The 21,680-nt window shown below is 35.1% G+C and overlaps 1 long non-coding RNA gene across 1 annotated transcript in view; it reads right to left on the bottom strand.

The window, feature by feature from the left end:
• Positions 1-881: 881 nt before the first annotated feature.
• Positions 882-21,680, bottom strand: part of LINC01414 (long intergenic non-protein coding RNA 1414) — a 511,616-nt gene continuing 490,817 nt past the window's right edge. The window contains exon 5 of the long non-coding RNA NR_125826.1: positions 882-1,050. This is a non-coding gene — a long non-coding RNA (long intergenic non-protein coding RNA 1414). The remainder of the gene's footprint in view (positions 1,051-21,680) is intronic.

The raw sequence follows: 21,680 nt of genomic DNA on the forward strand, positions 1-21,680 counted from the left end.
AACTAGAATGCCTTTTTAGAGGCTGGTCTCACACCTAATTATTGACTAGGTGTATCAACCAGGATTTCTTCAGGAAACGGATGACACGACTCAGCATAATTCAAGGACAGTTTATTTTTAAATGAATTAATCACAAAACTATGTGCAGTGACCCAATAATGCTCCTGGTTAGGCATCACTGGGCTGGGACTGACACATTCTGAGCAAATGGATAATGGTAGCCAAGAAGCATCAAAGAAAAATTTGATGAGATTCTAAGCCCCACATAAGATAGAGTGACAATGACAGGGGCTAAAACCTCATCCTCTAGGACAAATCATCCCATGGCTAATCCATGGTTAATGATCAATGATCAATCATGGTTATTGAGCAATGATCACTTCTCCCAGATTGAAATACACTTTTGTCAGATCATCTTCTAAAACCTCAGGCCCAAAGTACAAACAAGGAGTAAAGAAAACTAAATAAAACAATCACAAATCAGGCAGATTAGTGAATATGTATTTAATAAAAAAGATAAATACAAATACACAGCAATGGCATAACTATAACAACTGAACAAATTTGAAAAATAATTAGAATTCACCACTTTACATGTAGAGAGTTTGGGATTTGCTTGCACGTTTGATTTTTGCCTGTGACTTTTGTAAGTGCTAAGGAATGAATGGACTAAAACATCCAATGAAAAATTTTCTCTAAGCTATTATAAAACAGCACATATACTCCTACCATAAAAGCTCTCAGATTTAAAATACGACAGAAAATGACAACACTGACAATGACAAATCTCCAGCCTTCCTCATTTTCATCCCAGGATGCTCTTGGTGCTCACTTCTTTTCTCCCATTGTCTGTTTTTGGCAGCTTCTCTTTCCCTTCTCCTCTCTCTGGGTCTTCATTCATATTGGCTCCAGGAAACGAAAGGTAAGAAGCGGTCTTATAGTATGCCTCCCTCACCTGTGCGTCATTTTCACATTCTTCCTCAATGGGAAATGATTGTGCAGGAAGAGCAGGGGGAGACTCCCACCATTGAACTGGCTGGAAGGCTTTGCCTTGTGAAAAAAGTAAAAGGAGAGGGAAAGTAGATCACTTGATAACACAGAAAAATTTCAAGGATAAAGAACTTGCCATAATCATCCTTATTCCAAGCTTCTTTCTCTGGACTTCCCCAGAAATGATTTATTTTTCTTCTTCATTCGAAATTACCAACAGTTTAGATAACACAGAAAAATTTCAAGGATAAAGAACTTGCCATAATCATCCTTATTCCAAGCTTCTTTCTCTGGACTTCCCCAGAAATGATTTATTTTTCTTCTTCATTCGAAATTACCAACAGTTTAGAATTAAAACAACTAAAAAAATCACTTTTATCCTACCAATACAGGGGAAAATATGACTGGCCCTAACTTTATAAATAATGCCTTTATTTAGATTTACTTTTACTACTTATATTTCTAAATAATCATCATTATGTAGTTATATTTACTGAAGTAGATTATCAAAATGCATAACATAGTCTTTCCATTAACTCTTTCACATTAATGAGTTGCTATTTAGTAAATTACTATTTCCCCACACTAAGAGGAAGGAAGCCAGTGGCCTAAATGATTTTCCAAAGTGCCTATTAATAAACACCCAAGGCATATATTAAAAAGCTAGAATGCAAAGGTTCCTGGGAAGTACATAAGCATGTGGACTGGGATTTTTAGAAATGTGCATTAACACTTTCATGACTATAGCAGATTGCTCAATGAATTCCTCTTCAGGTTTTCCATCACTCCAATTTTTGGTACATTCCTATTTGTGGCAATTTTGTAATGATTTCAACTGAAACAAAGCTTCCCAGTTTCATTGTTTTGTTGGGAAATACTAAATATAAATCCTTTACAATTTTCTATTAAAGTTTTTCTAATTATGTTACTCCATTTTTCACTTTAGTCTGCTAGATGCTATTCAAGACAGAAAGGACTTCTAAAAAATATAGGTGGTAAGCTTTTACCTTTGCTAAGTTCTTGAGCTATTCATGAACCTAATTATTTAAAAAGCGTAATCTATTTTATGCAGTTGCTATGAGTCCTTCTTAAATGTTCACAAATTTATGATTTTTAAAAGCTTTTTTAATTAAAGAATTTATGTAGAGAATTGTAGATTCACATGCAGTTGTAAGAAATTATACAGACACATCCCATATACGCATTATCCCATTTCCCCCAATGACTACATTCTGCAAAGCTATAGCATATTATACCCAGAAGATTGACACTGACACAATACAGATACAGAACATTTCCTCACTACAGGGATCCCTCTTGTTGCCCTTTTACAGCCACAGTCCCTTCCCTCTTACCCCTCCTTAGCCCCTGGAAACGTCTCCTCCGTTTGTGTCACTTTGCCTTTCATGAATGTTAGATAACTCGAATCATAGGCTATTTTACCACTGGGGACTGCATTTCTTTTTCATTAAGCACACTCTGTAAAGATTCCTCTAAGCAGATGCCTACTTCAATAGTTCAGTCCTTTTTATAGGTAAATAGTATTTCTTGGTGTAGATGTAGCACAGTTTGTTTACTACTTGCCCACAGAAGGACAACTGGGTTGTTTCCAGTTTAGGGCTATTATGAATAAACATTACAAAATAAACATTTGTGAACAGCTGTTTGTGTGCACACAAGTCTTCATTTATTGGGTATAAAAGTTCAAGAGTGTAATTGTTTGGTCATATGTTATGTGCATGTTTACTTTTTTAAGAAACTGCCAAACTATTTTCCGATGTGACTCTACTGTTTTATATTCCCATCAGTACCCACCAATAAAATATGAGTAATCCAGTTCCTCTGCATCCTGACCATCATTTGGTGCTGTGACTATTTTTTTATTTTAGTCATTCTGATAGTGTAATGGTATCTATTTGTAGTTTTAATTTGCATCTCCATAATTTCTAATAATACCTACTAATTATGTATTTTGTATCTGTATACTTTCTTCAGTGAAATGTCTTTTTATATCTTTTGTCCATGTTTTCAATGGATTGTTTGCTTTCTTATTGAAGAAATTGAGCATTCTTTATATATTCTATATATTATCCTTTGTCAGATATATGGGTCACAGATATTTTTCTCCCATCATGTAGCTTATTTCTTCATCGTTTTAACAGGGTATTTTGCAGAGCAAAAGTTTTGAATTTTGATTAAGTCTACTTTATCATTTTTTTCCTTTTATGTATTGTGTGCCATGTGTGTCAAATCTGACAATTTTTTTGTCTAGGCCTAGATCCCAACACTTTTCCTTTTTTTTTTCTAAAAGTTTTACAGTTATATATTTTACATGTAAATTTGTGATGCACATTGAGTTTTTTATTTTTAATTTTTAGTTATTTTGGGTACATAGTAGGTATATATATTTATGGGGTACATGAGATGTTTTGATATAGGTATGAAGTACATAACAATCATATAATGGCATATGGGGTGTCCTTCTCCTGAAGCATTTATCCTTTGTATTGCAAACAGTTATACTCTTTTAGCTACTTTTAATGTATAAATTATTATTGACTGTAGTTACCCTGTTGTGCTATCAAATACTAGGCCCTATTCATTTGTGCTATTTTTTTGTACCCATTAACCATCCCCGCATCCCCTTCACCACTCCCTGCAACCCCTGACTACACTTCCCAGCCTTTGGTAGTCATCCTTCTACTCTCTATTTCCATGAGTTTAATTGTTTTGATTTTTAGATCCCACAAATAAGCGAGAACATACAATGTTTGTCTTTCTGTGCCTGGCTTATTTCACTTAACTTAATGATCTCCAGTTCCATTCATGTTTTTGCAAATGACTGAATCTCATTCTTCTTATGGCTGAGTAGTACTCCATTGTATATATGTACCACATCTTTCTTTATCCATTCATCTGTTGGTGGGCACTTACATTAAGTTATTTTTGAGTGACATTTTCGTATAAGCTGAGAGAATTTGGTTGAGATTCTTTTTCTTTTAATTTCTCTTTTTGTTTTTCTCTTTCTTTTTTTCTCTTATTTTGATGAATGGGCAATTGCTTCAGCACCATTTGCTAAAAAGGATATCCTTCCTGCATTAAATTGCTTTTGAACCTTTGTCAAACTCAAAACTTGCACCTTGTCAAAATGGTGAACTTTTAGTTCCTTTGTCAAAACTCATTTGGGGCCGGGCGCGGTGGCTCATGCCTGTAATCCCAGCACTTTGGGAGGCCGAAGCAGGCGGATCATGAGGTCAGGAGATCGAGACCATCCTGGCTAACACGGTGAAACCCCATCTCTACTAAAAATAAAAAAAATAAAAAAAAATTAGCCAGGCGTGGTCGTGGGCCCCCATAGTCCCGGCTAATGAGGAGGCTGAGGCAGGAGAATGGCATGAACTCAGGAGGCAGAGCTTGCAGTGAACCGTGATCGCACCACTGCACTCCAGCCTGAGTGACAGAGCAAGACTCTGTCTCAAACAAAAACAAAAACAAAAACACTCAGTTGGTCAAATCTGGATGGTGTATTTTTGCTTTATCTCTTCTTTTTCATTAATCTATGTGTCTTTCCCTTTACCAAACCACACAATCTTGATTATTGTAAAGAAATCAAAGAGACTTATTCTCTCCTCCTCCTTCTTCATGAAACTGTTTAGCTATTTAGTTTCTTTGCCCATCTATATCTACAAAAAAATCGTTCTGGGATTTTGGTAATGTTAGTGTTAAAACTGTATGTTAATTTAAGGGAAAATTGACATCTTTATATGCTAAGTCTTCCAAGCCATAAACACAGTATATCTCTCCATTTAAGTTTCGATTTCTTTAATCACCTGGTCCAGGTGTTCTAGATATAAGTCCATATGAGCTTTGCCAGATTTATACCTAAGTATTGCATTTACTTTGAGCAGTTTTAACTTGTACTATATTTTAAAATTTTATTTGTGTTTATTGCTAGCATTTAAAAATAAAATTAATTTTTGCTTATCTTGGGTCCTGCCACCTTGCTGAGCTTGCTTCTGAGTTCTAGGAATTTTTTTTGAAAATTCCTGAGGATTTTTCATATAGACAATTATGTCATCTAAAAATAAGAACAGCTTTATTTCTTCCCTTCTTGTCTGCATGCATTTTCTTTGCTTTTCTTACCTTATTGCACAGGCTAAAATTTCCAACACTCTGTGGAATAAAAATGGTAAGAGCAGATATCCTTGCTTTCCCCCCATTTTTGAGAAAACATTATTTTTCTCCATTATATGTAAAGTTATCTGTAAGTTTGTAGATAAGCTTTATTAATTTGAGGAAATTCCTTTCTATTCCAATTTTTCTCAGAATCTTTAATCATAAGTGAATGTTGAACTTTTCAAATGTTTTTCTCCATTAATTAATATGGTCATTTAATTTTTCAACTTTAGCCTGTAGATATGGTGGGATTACATTGATAGGTTTTGAACTTCCAACTAACTTTACACCCCTAGGGTAGGAAAAATTAAAAACTGCACTTAGTCGTGTTGTATAATTTCTTAATATATTGCTGTATACTATTTTATAATATTTGTTAAGAATTTTTACACTTATATTAGTCTATAGTTTTCTTTTTTAAAAAGTTCCAGTGCTATTCAAATTATTGATTTCATATGGAGTCAGTTGTGATAGATTGTGTTTATTGTGAAATTGGTCTATTTCATCTAAGTTGTTAAATTTATGTGTGTGGAGACGTTCTTTGTAATCTCATATTTTTCTTTTAAGCTCTACAGCGCTTATAGCAATACCTTCTATTTTATTTATGTTATTGGTAATTTGTGTCTTATTTCTTTTCCTTGTCAGTTTTCCAAGAGTCGTTTTATTGATTTTTAAAAGAACTAGATTTCAGTTTCATTTATTTAATCTATATTATCAGTTTTAAATTGTATTGATTTCTATAATTTATTATTGCATTTCTTCTACTTGCTTTGGGTTTATTTCACTCTTCATTTCCCAGGTTCTTGATCTGAATGTTAAGATTATTGCTTTGAGAGCTTTCCTATTTTCTAATGTATTCATTATGTGTGATAAATTTCTCTGTCAGCACTGTTTTGGTTGTGTTTTACAAATTTTGATATATTGTATTGTTATTTTTATTCAGTTCTATGTATTTTGTTTTCCTTGAGAGTTCCTCTTTGACCAATACATTATTTAAAATGTATAGTTTAGTTTGCATGTGCTTGGAGATTTTCCTGTTATTTTTCTTATTGATTTCTAATTTGATGCCCTTGGGGTGGAAATTTGTAAAGATTCACTTGATGGCCCGGGATATAGTTTATTTTCATATAAGTTCTGAGAAAACTTGAAAAGAATGTGCATTCTGTTTCTGTTGGGTGGAGTGTACTATAAATATTGAATAGATCCTACAGGATGGTAGTGCTGATGAGTTCTTCTATATCCTTGCTGATTTCCTGTCTAGCTGTTCTCTTAATTGTTGACAGAGAGGTATTAAAATCTTTCTACATAGTTGTGGATTTGTCTATTTCCCCTTTCAATTCTATCAACTTTTGCTTTGCATATTTTGCTACTCTATTGTTGGTATATACATGTTTAGAATTGCTATGTTGTCTTGGTAAATTCACCATTTTATTACTACATTGCACCTCTCTCTGTCTCTGGTAATTTTCTTTTTCTGAACTCTACTTCATCTGATAGTAATAAAGCCACCCCTGCTTTTCTTGGATTAATATTTGCATGATATTTTTTCCATCTGACCTGCCTATATAATCATATTTGAGGTGAGATTATGATAAATAGCATGTATTTGGTAATGTTTTCTTAGCCATTCTTCCAATCTCTGTCTTTTAATTGGTTTATTTAGGTCATTCACATTTAATATTTAAGTTAAGGTTTAAAGCCAACAATTTTCTTTTTCTTTTGCTTTTCTTGTTCTATTTATTTTATTATTTTTCTTTTATTCATTCCTGTGAGTTGCTCGTACATTTATTAAAATTCCATTTTGATTTACTGATAATGTTTTTGAATGTCTTTTTTTTATAGCAACCACTAAATACACAGGTTATTGTTATCATTATAGAGATTTGAATAGAGGATAGAAACCTTAACTCCCTTTACATCCCTTTACCTTGACCCGTATACAATATTATTGTCTTAAATATTTTCTGTATGTGTCCTTAGAAACACACTAGACAACGTTATAATTTTTGCTTCAACTTTAAAACATTATTTTGAAACCTCCAGAGAAGAAAACACATTCAGTTTACCCATATTTTTGTTTATCATGTTCTTTCTTTCCTCAGATATTCTAAGGTTACTTTGTTAAAAAATCATTTTCCTTATGTTCATAGAACTTCTTTTAGTCATTCTTTTAAGGTAGATCTACAGATAATAGATTCTCTTAGTTTTCCGTCATCCAAGAATGTGTTAATTTTTCATTTATTGCTGAAGAATATTTTTACTGGGTATGTAATTCTAGCTTGATAGTTCTGCTTTGTCAACACTTAAAATATATTACGCATTTTATTCTGGCCTCAATGCTTTCTGATGAGTTATCCTCTGTGTCATTCAAATTGTTTTCCACCTATATTTATATGGTATTTTTTTCTCCAGCTGTTTTCAAATTTTTCCTTGTTTTTAGTTTTCAGAAATGTAAATACTCAGTGTCTTGGAATAAATATTTAGGGTTTTACCCTATTTTGTTCTTCACTTCTTATGTGACTCTGATGATAGGAATGTTATATATTTTGTTATACTCCACAAGTTACTGAGGTTCTGTTTATTTATTTATTCTTTTGTTTATTTTCTCAACTATTGTCCAGATTAGGTAATTTGTATCACTCCATCTTCTGTTTCGTTGATTTCATTGATTCTTTTCTGTCTCCCACATTCTGCTATTGGCACATTTATTGAGCATTTTATGCCAGTTATTGTATTTTTCAGTTCTCAAATTTCCATTTGGTTCTGCTTTATATTTTCTATGTCTTTGCTGAGGCTTTCTATAACTTTGCTGAGGCTTCTTATTTTTTTCATGTGTTTGAAGCATGTTTGTAATTGCTGATTAAAACATTTGTATCATGGCTGCCTTAAAATTCTTTGTCAAATCATTCTAACGTCTACCATCTCAGTGTTGACATCTATTGATTGCCTTTTTTTAAACAGTTTGAGATCTTCTTATATCTAAGTATGGAAGTGATTTTCTATTGATTTTTTATTATACATTTTTGTATTATATGAGACTTTGGATCCTATTTAAAACTTTGTTTAACTGGTCTTCCACGATCTTGCTTTGTTAGGGGAAGGGAAGGGCTATCTCATTAGTGGCACTCAGCTTCTGTTGACTTATGAAATCAACAGAAGAAAGAAGAAATTAATGAAACAGAAGATGGAATGATACAAATTTCCTAATCTGGACAACGTTTGAGAAAATAAACAAAAAATATAGAGGGGGTTATTGCTGCTGGGCAAGGGTGAGATTTCCAGCTCCCCACATGGCTTCCACAGACACCACAATGGGGTAGCCTCATTACTGCTTGCTGATATTGAAGGTCCTGACCCCTCACTGAGCTTCCTCTGACAGCACCCCAGCAATGAAGAGGATGGGTATCTCATTATTTCTGACTGGAGATGGAAGTTCAAGATCCTCATTTTGTTTTGTATGGCATTGGGTAAGGGATTGGTCGGGGGGACTGGTTATTAGCAGATGGATGAAAGTCCTAGCTACCTTCTTGGCTTTTTCTGATACCAGCCTGGTAGCAACTGGGGCACGTTGTTACAGCCTCATGAGTGTGGAATTTTAGGCTTCCCACTCAGATCTAGGTGGTATAGTTGGGGGTGGGACCACAGTTTTTTTCTGTTGTGTTTGGCTACAGCAGAATGATTACTGTTTAATAGGGTCCTGTTTTGGTAGGTTGCCCCTTTCCTGGTGTTTGGCTATATATAACATGCTTTTCTTGGGGCTTTCTTATTTTGTTTTCTTTTATTTTTGGTGTATAAGTGTTAGCATTTCTGAGTTGACAACTTTTTCAGCATCAAGTCTGGAACATATGAGGCCAAAGGAAAATGCAGAGAACTTGCTATAGTGTCATTTCTAGGTCTCATGGTCACTGGGTGGTCCCTTCTTGTCTCCACCTTTCAAGGTCCTCATTATTTTTTAAATATATGTGTGTGTATATATATATTATATATTTTATATATATTATATATTATAAATATAATATAATATAGTATATATATTATATATTATAAATATAATATAATATAGTATATATATTATATATTATATATATTATATATTATATATATTATATATTATATATATTATATATTATATATATTATATGTATAAAATATATAATATATATATATATATAATGTTCAGGGATTTTTAGACTTACTAAGAAGAAATGAATTAAATCATGTCCACTTCATCTTCCCATAATTAGAAGTCTCCAGGCTTCCTCTTCTGGTAGTAATTTTTAAACTTTTTTTTCAAAGGAAATCTCGTACAAAAATCAGTCTTAAAATGGGGATAAAGCTAAATTATTTGAAAAAAAAGATGTTTTGAGCTCCATACCTTGGGCTCCTTAATGCTCTTGCAATGAAGCAAGAGTCAAAGGTGCTGAATTTGGACATTACATAATCCTGAATTTTGACTTTTTTTCTATGACTTATGCAAAGAGAAGAACAATAACTCTGTTGAGGTTCTCTAATGAGCCAAAAATATGACAGTAGCCACTATCACTCTCCTCTCCTTTGTTACTAACAGGATGCATCCTCCTTCGTCATGAAATATAAGGTAATTTTTTATTACTTGATAAGTGAAAATTGTCAAGATTAACAATGGCAGTCTCTTTAGTGAAGAGTATATTTCTCATCCTTTAAGTAAATATGTACTAAGTACCTACTGCATGCACGGCATAGTGGGCAGTAGGAAGGGCTGGTTATACGATGTGTAAATCACAGTGAAAAATGAAAATGTCAAACTGCTTATTCAAAAAGCAGGGGGAAATCTCATTCAAGGTACTGACACATACAATCCTTTTCTTTTACTTACTTGGCCAGTCCTCGTTTATTTCATTTGCTATTTAGTGTCATGCTCCCTCAGGCAATGGGATACTCCACTTCGTAGTCATCTCCCCTTCCCACAGGACAACTGCTACAGCTCACAGTGGACAGTTCACCCCAATAAACTATAGCTTCTGTTTCAGGGTATGCTTGGTACCTGCTTCAAGTGTGGATGAGGGGTTTGGTAGTCATCTGCGAGTGTGCTACGGTGCTCCCAGCCTTAAACTGAGATAGCTGCCACCATGCTTCTCTAAGACACAGGAGCCCATACATCTAATTCCAACTCTTCCTGCACACAGGCACCTACCATGGGCAGGGGCATCAAGGAGGAGGTTAGATAGTTCCCAGAGTGCCAGGGATGGTGGAGTGGGCAGTCTAGAATGCACATCAGGGAGGCAGGAAGGAGGCAAAATTATGTGTGAGCTAGGCTCCAACCCTGTGACACATGCTTCATTGTCCCATAAGACTTAATTACAAACACAAATGATTTCAAAGATAAAATTGTTAAGAAATTTTAAGATGACAGTCACAAAGCATTAAACCTCAACCATGGGACCCTTCTTAGGACAGGGCCTTATGTGACTGTGCTGTTTTCATGCCATATTGCTGGCCCTGGCACTAGGGACACAATAAGGTAATACCTTGGAATTCTTTGTAAGACTTCAAAGAAACTGGTTAAAAATAAACACTTTGGTCTTTTAAGCATATATTTTATGTGTTTTGTTAACACACAGTCAAGGAATTTGACTATTTTTTAACTAAATTGTGTTGTTTTGACATTTGGGAGACATTAACACTTTCAAGTGGCTTTGAGATGGGTCCATTGGCTTTCTTTACTTCATCATATCTTGGTATTACAGTAAAGACACGTATTTTGTTCTCATAAATTTCTCAGTGGTCCCATTATTATTCTGTAATTATTCCTTCAAGACAGAAACTAAGTTCCATTACTCAATAGGGACTATTTTATTTCATCTACAACAAAGAAGCTACAGCATATTTACTGTCAACGGTGAACTGAAAATTCTCAAATGGTTCTCATCAACATCTTTATTCATTTTTTCTCATTTTGTTTTTTAAGTAGGTCTCTTTTTTTAACCAACAGTGGAACTCAACATTAATTTTGTGAATTGAATCAGTATGTCCCTCTAAACAAATGGATAACAGAATTAGATAACTTGGATTGGCATCAAATATCTCTAATTTTCATGTAAAAAATATATTTTTCAAATGATGAGATAAATCACTAAAAGTCAAAATATACATTTTATAGGAGATTGAGATTTGGTCATAAATTCTAATAATCCTTTTAATAATATCAATGGTAATATAATAACTTTAATTGAACCATGTTTATGTGCCAGAAAGTATGTTATAGGATTTATATGTCCTTACCACATTACTGTTTACATTTAGTCTTTCAATATTGCAAAGTTAGTACTTTTTTTTTTCTTTTTTGGTTTTTACTTAGCATAGTGTCCTCAAGGTTCATTCATGTGGTAGCATGTGTCAGAATTTGCTTCCTTTATAAAGCTGCATATATTTATTAGACTTTTAATGTATGTTTTATGTTCTGTTCCCTTCCTTCCAACCCCATAGTTTTGTTTAGATTTTTCCAACTTTTATTTTAAGTTCAGAGCTACGTATGCGGGATGTGCAGGTTTGTTACATAGGTGAATGTGTGCCATGGTGGTTTGCTGCACAGATCAACCCGTCACCCAGGTATTAAGACCAGCATCTTCTAGCTATTCTTTCTGATTCTCTCCTTCCTCCCAATCCCTACCCACAAAGTAAGTACTCTTGTTTCCATTTTACAGATGAGAAAATGGAGGCACAGCAGAGCTAAATAATTTGTCCTATGCAAGTGAGAGATATGCAGTTTCTTTTAAGACCCAGGTTTTTTCCACTCTATATGGTCTCCCCAGAAATGCCCTTTCTTTGCAAAGAAAGAAATATTTCTATTTTAAAAATTTTAAAATACTATTTCTTACAGATAGATGCTTCTCATAGATGACTGGGTAATCCAAGGCTCATTATTCATTGTGTTGTTTTGTGATGCTTTTGATTATATATTTAGCCATTAAAATATATAAAAACACCTCATATCAAGAATAAAGTTAATTTAAAGGAATATTTGAAGAATTGGCTTAAGAATAATGAAATTTGACTATAACACTCTTGATAAACAGACGCATATATCTTGAAACTCAGGCATGAAGACTTGGTTACTAAAGAACAAAAAAGATTATGATAACTGGATTCTCAAAGACATCTTTTGTTACAAACCTCAAAGACAGCATAGCAATAAGGCTGCAGGGTAGGTTAATTTAACATTTGCATCACAAAGTTAATTTGGAATTAGCTTATCTTTCTGTCTTTGTTCCACTGTTTCTGTCAACTGTGACTAATTCTGCAACCTCATTTTTTTTTTTTTTTTTTTTTTTTTTTTTTAGATGGCGTTTTGCTCTTGTCGCCCAGGCTGGAGTGCAATGGCGCGATCTCCGCTCACTGCAACCTCATCCTCATGGATTCAAGCGATTCTCCTGCCTCAGCCTCCAGAGTAGCTGGGATTACAGGCATGTACCACCACGCCCAGCTAATTTTTGTATTATTAGTAGAGACGGGGTTTTACCATGTTGGCCAGGCTGGTCTCAAACTCCTGACCTCAGCTGATCCACCAGCCTTTGCCTCCCAAAGTGCTGGGATAACAGGCTTGAGCCACCGCGCATGGCCCAATTCTACAACTTCTATGTGGAACTTAGCTGGAATGTTAACTTGAATCTCTAGAAATAATAGACGTGGATTACCACACAGTATCATTTTCTTAAGTGATTAGAGTATATTTCAGTGTAAATAGAATATATTTACCTATTTATTTAGTACTGTGTAGCCTCATAATTCTTCACTATTAAAAAAAGTTTTGAACTAAATATGCTATATTTTAAGGAGTTTACTTATGTTGTTTCTCTTTCTTGTTATTGTTTCCCTCTCTTATGATTTAAAGAAAATAATAGAAATCTGATAATTTTTATTATCTTTATTTTCTATATTGGGAGACAGTTTATGCTGTGGTTAAGAGTGCAAACTCTGAAGCCAGGCTGCCTGTTTTTGAGTCCCACTTCTGTCTTTACTATTGTGAGGCTTTGAGAAAGTCATTTAAATTCAGTGGGTCTCAGTTTCCTCTGTTAGTTTATGTAACTAACAAAGTTAGTTACACAAACTAATATTGCTTTATTTTATATTATTGTTATAGCTGAAGTCAGCTTCCAAGGTCATCTAGTCTTATAATTAACCATCAGTAGAGAGACAAGGAAACTAGTTTCAAGTATTTTCATGAACTTAGATTCAGTCAGTCAATAGGTCCATTAGAACTGAAATATATCACCTCATTCTTAGATAAGATCTTTTTCATTTACTCAGCATAGGTTGATAATTAATGATTTTCAACCTATCTGAGTACTAGGTTCTCAGTAGGTTTGGGGTCTTCTTCAATTGCCCATACTTTCATGAGTATTTAAATCCTTCTGTATAAAGTATCCTTCTTCCCAAAATGGTTTTGGTTGTTTCACACTCACCCCTCAGGATTCAGCTTTCTCTATGACTACTTATTTGGAAAGCTTCCTTGAGCAAACTTTCAGTCCCCACCTGTTCCAAAACAAGTTTATATCTTCTCTCAATCCCTTTCTCAGAACCTTGTGTTTAGCCACATTATCCCAGTGGATGTATTTGCTGAATTTCTTATAGGTCTCCCCAAGTTTATTATTAGCTCCTTGGGGCAGAAATTCCATCTTCCATAGGAGATTATCAGTCATTTAAAAATATATACTATTTGCTGGGCTAGGAGTTGAAGCTAGAATGACCCCTGACCACAGTTTCTCTAACCACACCTTTATTTCTGGGTCCTTACTTCTCTACTTGCTCACTAAAAGTGATAAGGTTACTGCACACACAGGCAGAAAGAAATTTTGTCTTCATTTTTTTAATATTTGAGCCAGATCCTTGACTAGTGTATAGCAGAGTAAACTCCAGGTCTGCATGGTTAGTCCAAGATGTATTTAATGATTTTTTTGCTCATGATCATAGTGTTTTCACATTATTAACTTCCCAAAGTATTTCCCATGAAAGATTATGAGATATCTTGTGAAACAAAAATAGTATCTGACAAGACTAGTGATAGGTTCATTTTTAAAAAAGGGTCCTATCTTTAAATATGATCAGAAAATGCTCTATGACATTGTCCCTTCTTAGACATCACAACGTACTGTTGCATAGGAGAAGATCAGATCCATGAAGATCTGTAGTACAACAAACAAGCAAAATTGTTGACATTGCATGTTTAATCTAGATTTGACTTAAATTCTTTGACCATGGATTCTCAGATGCTGGGTCTCATGGCACTTGCGGTCTTTAGTTCACATCATTTCTTCACCAAAGCCACAACTGAAACAGGCTGGCAACTGCCAGAATATACATAGAAGACAATCACCTAATCATCTGATGAATAGGTCCTTGTTTTATTGAGGGTTTTTTTTTTAGGTTCTTTTTTCTCAATTTGTCCTCTAACTTCCAATGACATGGGACATCATTTTAATTGATCCTCAAAATTCTTAAAGAATACTTTTTACACAAGTGGCACCAAGGAAATATATGATGCTGGAAAGATACTGGAAAGTGCAGTAATTAACCAAGAATATTACAACTCATTTTCTTGAGACTTGGCATACCTTCCTGCAAGCTTTTTATTTATTTATTTACTTTTTAATGAAGTAATTAATTGCAATTCATTTGGGTGTTATGGAGGTTGTAGTCAATTTTTATTACTAATTTTTCTTTGTGTAGTAGTTATTAATGTGTTTTTCATTTATAGCTAGAACAACTGGGAAGACACTCTAGTCCATGTAACCCTTAGACATTTGAATTTGATAGTGAAGTATCAGTGCCCTCTTTGCTCAGTGTGTTTGCAGTGCAGTGCAGTTTAAATTTAATTTATTTATAATTTTCCCTTTATATTTTTATTAAACCCTCTACTTATTTTCCCATTCTTCTCTGACCAACAGATGGGCTTACTTCCCCTTTATGTGTTTTCATTGTTAATATCTGCAATTCAATAATCAGAAAAATCAGAAATTAGCTTGTATCACATTTGCAAGGGAAAATGTTTTCTTCAAGCTGCATTTTGTTTCTGAGCTAAAAGAAAACACAATGCTATTACATAATGAGTGCCTGTTTTACAGGGGAAAAAATAAACAGGGTTCCAAGTTTAAAATGATGATGGTGCTTTTCTGCTATCATCGGAGCCTAGGTCAGCACAAGGCCACATGTCATCCCTCTCTTGGACTGCAGTCTTTATGCACATCATTCACACACAGATTAATTCACTCAACCAGAGAGATGGTCCAATTGCACTTTCTTACTTAATTTCTTGTTGACTTGTCAGATACTTATGTTTTATGAAGACATGACAGAATTCCAAGATTAAAATTTGGTTATGATAATTTATAAAATAATAAGTATTGTGATGTGATATTGATGGCTTCATGTAAAAAAGAATCCTTTTTATTCAGTTCCCAATCCAAGAATCCTCCCAATCTAGAGGGGTACCTCTCTTGTCCGGAGCACCATTGATTAAATCTCACCAAGCCAAATCTTTATCTTTTTGTAATAAGTGTGTCCTCTGTAGGTATTCTCCAATGCTCCATAAGCTATTCTTGGCTTGGTACTTTTCTGATGAGAATGAACTCTTTCTTCATGGTCTAGCTGTGAAGCTGATTGAATGTCTTAGGCCAGAAGATTTGACCAGGGGCTGCCGTGTTTTCTCATCTTTGCTCTTTTATCAACATAGGATTTCCTGCAGATTCAAGATGAGGAGTCAGATGAGTCAAAGTTATCTACATCTACAGGTCATGACAGGAAAGTTGAAAGCCCTGTTAAATTTTTACAGGAGTTACTGATGATAATTACCAAGAAATCCTGGGCCTGAGATATAAATTCTTAGCTTTAAATTTTCTTCATTTCTTGGTTCTGCTGCTCCTCATCACCATTTATGCAAAAAAAATCTGCTTGGGTATTCAAAACACAGCTTTCTTGTTTCTATTTGTGCATTCAAACACTCCTTATTTTCTCCACTACCAGGGATAACCTCTTTTCTTATGATTCACATTTTTCTTGTTCTTCAATTGTCATCCAGAATTTTCTTGCTCCTTAAAAGCTTCCTAGTTTAACTGATTCAATATCTATAATTTTCTTTCTCAGGTAGATTTTTATACATGAACTTACTCATGCTACAATTTCACTGGGAGCTTTATATTTTTATGTCACCAACAAATCTCTTCCAGCTTCATCAGATTGTAAAACCTCAAGGGTCCTGATCATATCCTCCATTTTCGTCTAGGGTGTTTAGTGGAGTAGGGTCCCTCGTTTTTTTCTCTTTCTTTGCTGCACTAAAAGGATGAAATGTAAATATTTTCTCCCCAGGGAGGCTTTGGGAAGAGAGTGAGTTTTCAGTGGCTAATGATTTGTGCTTTGAGTTTAATGGTCCATCAAAGTCTATTAAGCAATAGCAAGAGAAAAAGAAGATTCCAAAGGAAAGTAGAAGGGGATAAACCACAATGAGACTTCAGGGGGGATCTAGAAAAATGGACCAGGGAATGATCTGGTTTACAGAAGGGGAGTTTGGGAGATAAGGCGCAGGTGGGAGGGCAGAGATCTAACTGCGGAAAAGCTCAGACACAGCCGAAAAACTGGACCTAGTAATGTTAGAAGACACCAGAGTTGAATCACAGCTCGCAGCCACCCCTCACTCAAGCCTTCACTGGAGCTGGCATCTCTCCTCTCCTGTGTTTAGTGACAAAAAATGTGGCCCTTCTGCTGCCTGGCAAAGAGTTTGCCTTGACTACATTCAGCACCTCATCAGCTGTCCTTCCATCTGTGCCTGCCACCTAGGTGAGCCACTGGCCTCCTCCTGTATGAGTCAGGATTCTGGCATAGTGCATCTGTGTGATGTCTCTGAAATGTTTATCTTCAGCACAGATTTCTTTTCTGGTTTCAACTTCCCATTTAGAAGTTGAAACGGAAGAGAAGTTGAAACCGGGAGTTGCATATCTACTCAGGTGTCATGGACATCTTAAACTCAACATTGTCTATTCCAAAGCCAACCTTTCATCTTCCTCATCATAGTAAATGGAATCTTTGTCTTTCTAGTTTTTTAAGCCATAAACTCAGAAGTCATTTCAGACATACTCAGGTTATGTAATATACAGAGAATTTAACAAAGAACTATTTACAAAGGTGAGGGTGGCATTCAAAGAAACCACCAAGTAATATTGCAGTACTTCTGAAATAATGACAGTGAGAATCCGGAGCCCAATCCTAGGCCTGAAGGGGCAGCAGGAGGGAGTGGTTGATGGACCCTGATACAGGCAGGGAAGGCTGTGTGAAGATTTGGGAGGATCTGTGTTTCTTTGTCAATGAAGGTGGCCAGCCCTCAGCACAGCGTGGGGGTGCAGGAGAAAACAATACCCCACAGTCACTCTCCTCCCCACCTCAGAGCTCCTGCACTGTTCCTGAAGCCATAGAGGAAGACAAAGCAAAGCAAAACCCACCACTGATGTAAACCTAGACAGTGAGCCTCCCAGGACCCAGGGCAGGGTGGAAAATGGTGAAGAGTGAACCTGATGGACGAACAGAAGAAAGAAGGCTCAATAATGGACATTTTCTTGACTCTCGACTAATTATTTAATATCAATAACCTCCACATAATGTTCCAGCATGTTTTTTAAACTAGAGAAATAAAAAAATTGGTTGTGGGAGGAGAGGAAGGTGAAGAGAAGAGGGCATGGTAGAGTGTTAGACGAAGCAAAACTTAGAGAAGGGACCAAGTCAGGGATTAGGCTAGGACAGTGGTTGATGATTTCCCTATCACCTTTGTCCAAAGGCTGCACGCGGGGGGCCCCATAAGTGTTTGTTGGCTGCCTCCAACTCTCAACCACTGGAAGCTAACATTCTTTCTGGTTTGTTCGGTTTAGCAAGTGCGTGAAGTACCTCTTGAAGATTGACTCTGCGGTGCTCACTCACTCACACACTGACATGTAATCAAATGTTTTACTGCAGTTCCATTATCTTTTCATCAACACATTTTGAAAAAAAATGACTGACACCACCAAGTTGATTCAGTTGTGGACAAACAATCTTCAAAGCAGAGTTATCTCTTCCTGATCTAGCTCAATAGTTTACAATATTAACTTCATAAATTAAATTACTTCTGCTTCAGACTGACTTTTCTTGAAAGCACATATTCTTCTCTTTCTTTTTACATACTCAATCATGAATTAAAGTAGGTAACACAGATTGTTTGCTACAGGTCAATTTCTCTATAAAACTACAAAAGGGAAGATCAGAAAGAAGAGGGTGAAGACTGTAGATTGCTAAAATAAAAGCTTTGTAAAGAAAATCTTAAACTACTTATTCCTTTGGCTCCCAGGAAATCATATTCTCTTCTCTTTCTAAGTTATTGTGGTGGAGGGGTTGTTTATTTTCATTTTAACTTTTTTATTTTTAAATTTGATGCATACATAATAGTTGTACATAATATATGGGGTACATGTGATATTTTGATACAAGCATAAAGTATGTAATGATCAAATCAGGATCATTACAAACATTTATCATTGTCATCTCAAACATTTATCATTTTTTCATGTTGGTAACATTCTAAATTCATTCCTCTAGCTATTTTGAAATATATAATAAATTATTAACTATAGTCACCCCATTGTGCTATAAAATGCCACATCCTATCTTACTATCTAACTGTATTTTTGTACTCATTAACCAACCCATTTTTATCTCCCCTTCCCCAGTACCCTTCCAAGCCTCTGGTAACCATGATTCTACTCTCTATCTCCATGAGATCAATTTTTTTAGCCCGCATATATGAGTGAGAACATGTGATATTTGTCTTTCTGTGTCCAGCTTATTTCACATATCATAATTTCCTCCAGTTTCATCCATGTTGTTGCAAGTGACAAGATTTTATTATTTCTTATGACTGAATAATATTTTATTGTGTCTATGTGCCATATTTGCTTTGTCTATTCATCTGTTGATGGACACAGTTTGGTTCCATACCTTGACTACTGACTGCTGTGAATAGCTCTACAATAAACATAGGAGTGCCGATATCTCTTTGATACACTGATTGCCTAGTTTTTTGGATATGTATCCAGTAGTGGGATTGCTGGATCATATGGTAGTTCTATTTTTAGTTTTTTTTAGGAACCTTCATACTATTTTCCTTAGTAGCTGTACTAACTTACATTCCCATCAACAGTATACAAGAGTTCCCTTTTTTCCACATTCTCCCCAGAATTTGTTACTTTTTGCCTTTTTGATAAAAGAAATTTTAACTAGAATGAGATAATATCTCATTGTGGTTTTGATTTGCATTTCTGTGATGATTAGTGATATAAGCATTTTTTCATATACCTGTTGGCCATTGTATGATTTCTTTTGAGACATGTTTATTCAAATCCTTTGACTATTTTTAAATCAGATTACTTGGCTTTTCACTATTAAGTTGTTTGAGCTCCTTATATATTCTGGTTACTAATCTCTTGTCAGATGGGTCATTTGCAAATATTTTCTCCCATTCTGTAGGCTGTCCCTTCACCTTGTTGATTATTTTCTTTTCTGTGCAGAAGCTTTTTAGCTTGATGTGGTCCCATTTGTCCATTTTTCCTTGGGTTGCTTGTGCTTTTGAGGTTATTGTAGGATTTTATACATTGTTTATAACTTCTTTGACAGTCCTCTCTTCAACACATGAAACTTAAACCCCCACCCTTTAAATATGGACTGGCCTTAGTAACTCATTTCTAACAAATAGGATCATAAGTGAAACCACCTATAGAGCTTCCAAGTTCTGTCATTAAAGTTTGGCTCTCTCTTTTTTTGAGAAATATATTTTTGGAGCCCTGAGCTGCCGAGTGAGAAGTCTGCCTATGTTGAAATTGCTGAACAAGAATAAGCACCTCGAGATGAAGACAAGCCAGAGGAGCCTCACCAAGTCAAGCCCCCAGCTATTTGAGCACCATCTGCAAAAATGAGATTCTGAGATTATTCCAGCCTCATCAGTGACTGATGGCATTCACAAAAGAGACCCTGAGCAACAAACATCCACTGAGTCCAGTCAACTCCCAGAACAATGTGCCATAATACTAGTGAACGACTGTTATTATTTTATGCCACTAATTTGGGGGTAGTTTGTTACACAGCAATAGTACCCAGAGAACTGGTGTCTCCTTTCGTTAACCTCCAAACGTTGGATGCCCCTTGTCCAAGTCCTGGACCTTCTTTTCTTATATATTATGCTTTTTTTCTTAGTAATCTCATCTTCCCCATGGTTTTAAGTAGCATTTGTATGCTACCTCTGAAATTTTTATCTTCAGCACGGATTTCTTTTCTATGTTGCAAATAGCCATTTGGATATCTGCTCAAGTGTCGTGGACATCTCAAACTTACTACCTCCCCAAGTTGACCCTTGATCATCCTCATCTTAGTAAATGGCAGCTCTATCCATTCTTTGCATAAGCCACAAATACAGAATTATTCTAGGCAAATCTCTGCTCCTTATGTTCTCAAACCAATGAATCATCAAGTTCTTTCAATTATTTTTCTACAATTATGGCAAATGCAAATTATTTTTGTCCCCACTAACACCACTCTAATCCAAGTGACAGCTATTTTTCACATAGGGTAGTACAATAATTTTTCAGTATTCTCTTTGCTTCCAATCTTGCCATATCTATTGCTAACACTCTACCATCTATTCTTCATATAATAGCCACACTATTTTTTTTAAACATAAATGATGCAACTTTAACCCCCACCTTATTTAAGAACACTCAATTAGGGCTAAAATCCAACATAATAACTTGGTGCATAAGACCTGATGATTTTGACACTGCTCTTCTCTCCAACTTCATTTTGACTTACCCTCTCCCTTGTACATTAAATTGAGTCACACTGGCTTTCTCTTAGTTCCTCAGAAATTCCACACACTTTCTGCAAGGCCTTTTACAGGTGCTGTTTCTTTTGTGTAAAATACATTTATCCCTCCTCTGGCTCTACCCTCACCCCCTAAACCACCTTCTGTCTTAATGATCTTCTATTCATCTTTTTGATTTCAGCTTAAATACCACTTCCTCAAGCAATATCTCTGACTTCATCTCCATCTGATTTGGATTTCTTATGTTAGTCTTCAAAAAATACTGTCCTTTTCACTTATTGGTATTATCACAATTAGACATTACATATGTACTTTTTGTTGAATTGGCTTATATCTTATCTCTATCCCTACTCTACAAGCTCCATGAGAGCAGAAATCAAGTCTCACTTGTTCACTGCTCAACACCCAGAATTTAATAGTAGGTGCTCATTATGTACTTATTAAATGAATATACACCTGTTAAATTTGATCTTTGGGTCAACTTCTCTGAGACACTTGGCACTTGTGCAAAAGCTGTTCTAACCTGGGACCTTGTGACCATGAGATCATGCAAATAGATATCTCAGAGGGAGGAATCCCCACTGGAGGATAACATTTCAAGAATTTCATTCAGAAAAAAGTCAAAATCCAAGACCAGTCTTCACAA

The sequence above is a fragment of the Homo sapiens genome, chromosome 8 (assembly GCF_000001405.40).
Source record: "Homo sapiens chromosome 8, GRCh38.p14 Primary Assembly".
Lineage (NCBI taxonomy): Eukaryota > Metazoa > Chordata > Mammalia > Primates > Hominidae > Homo > Homo sapiens.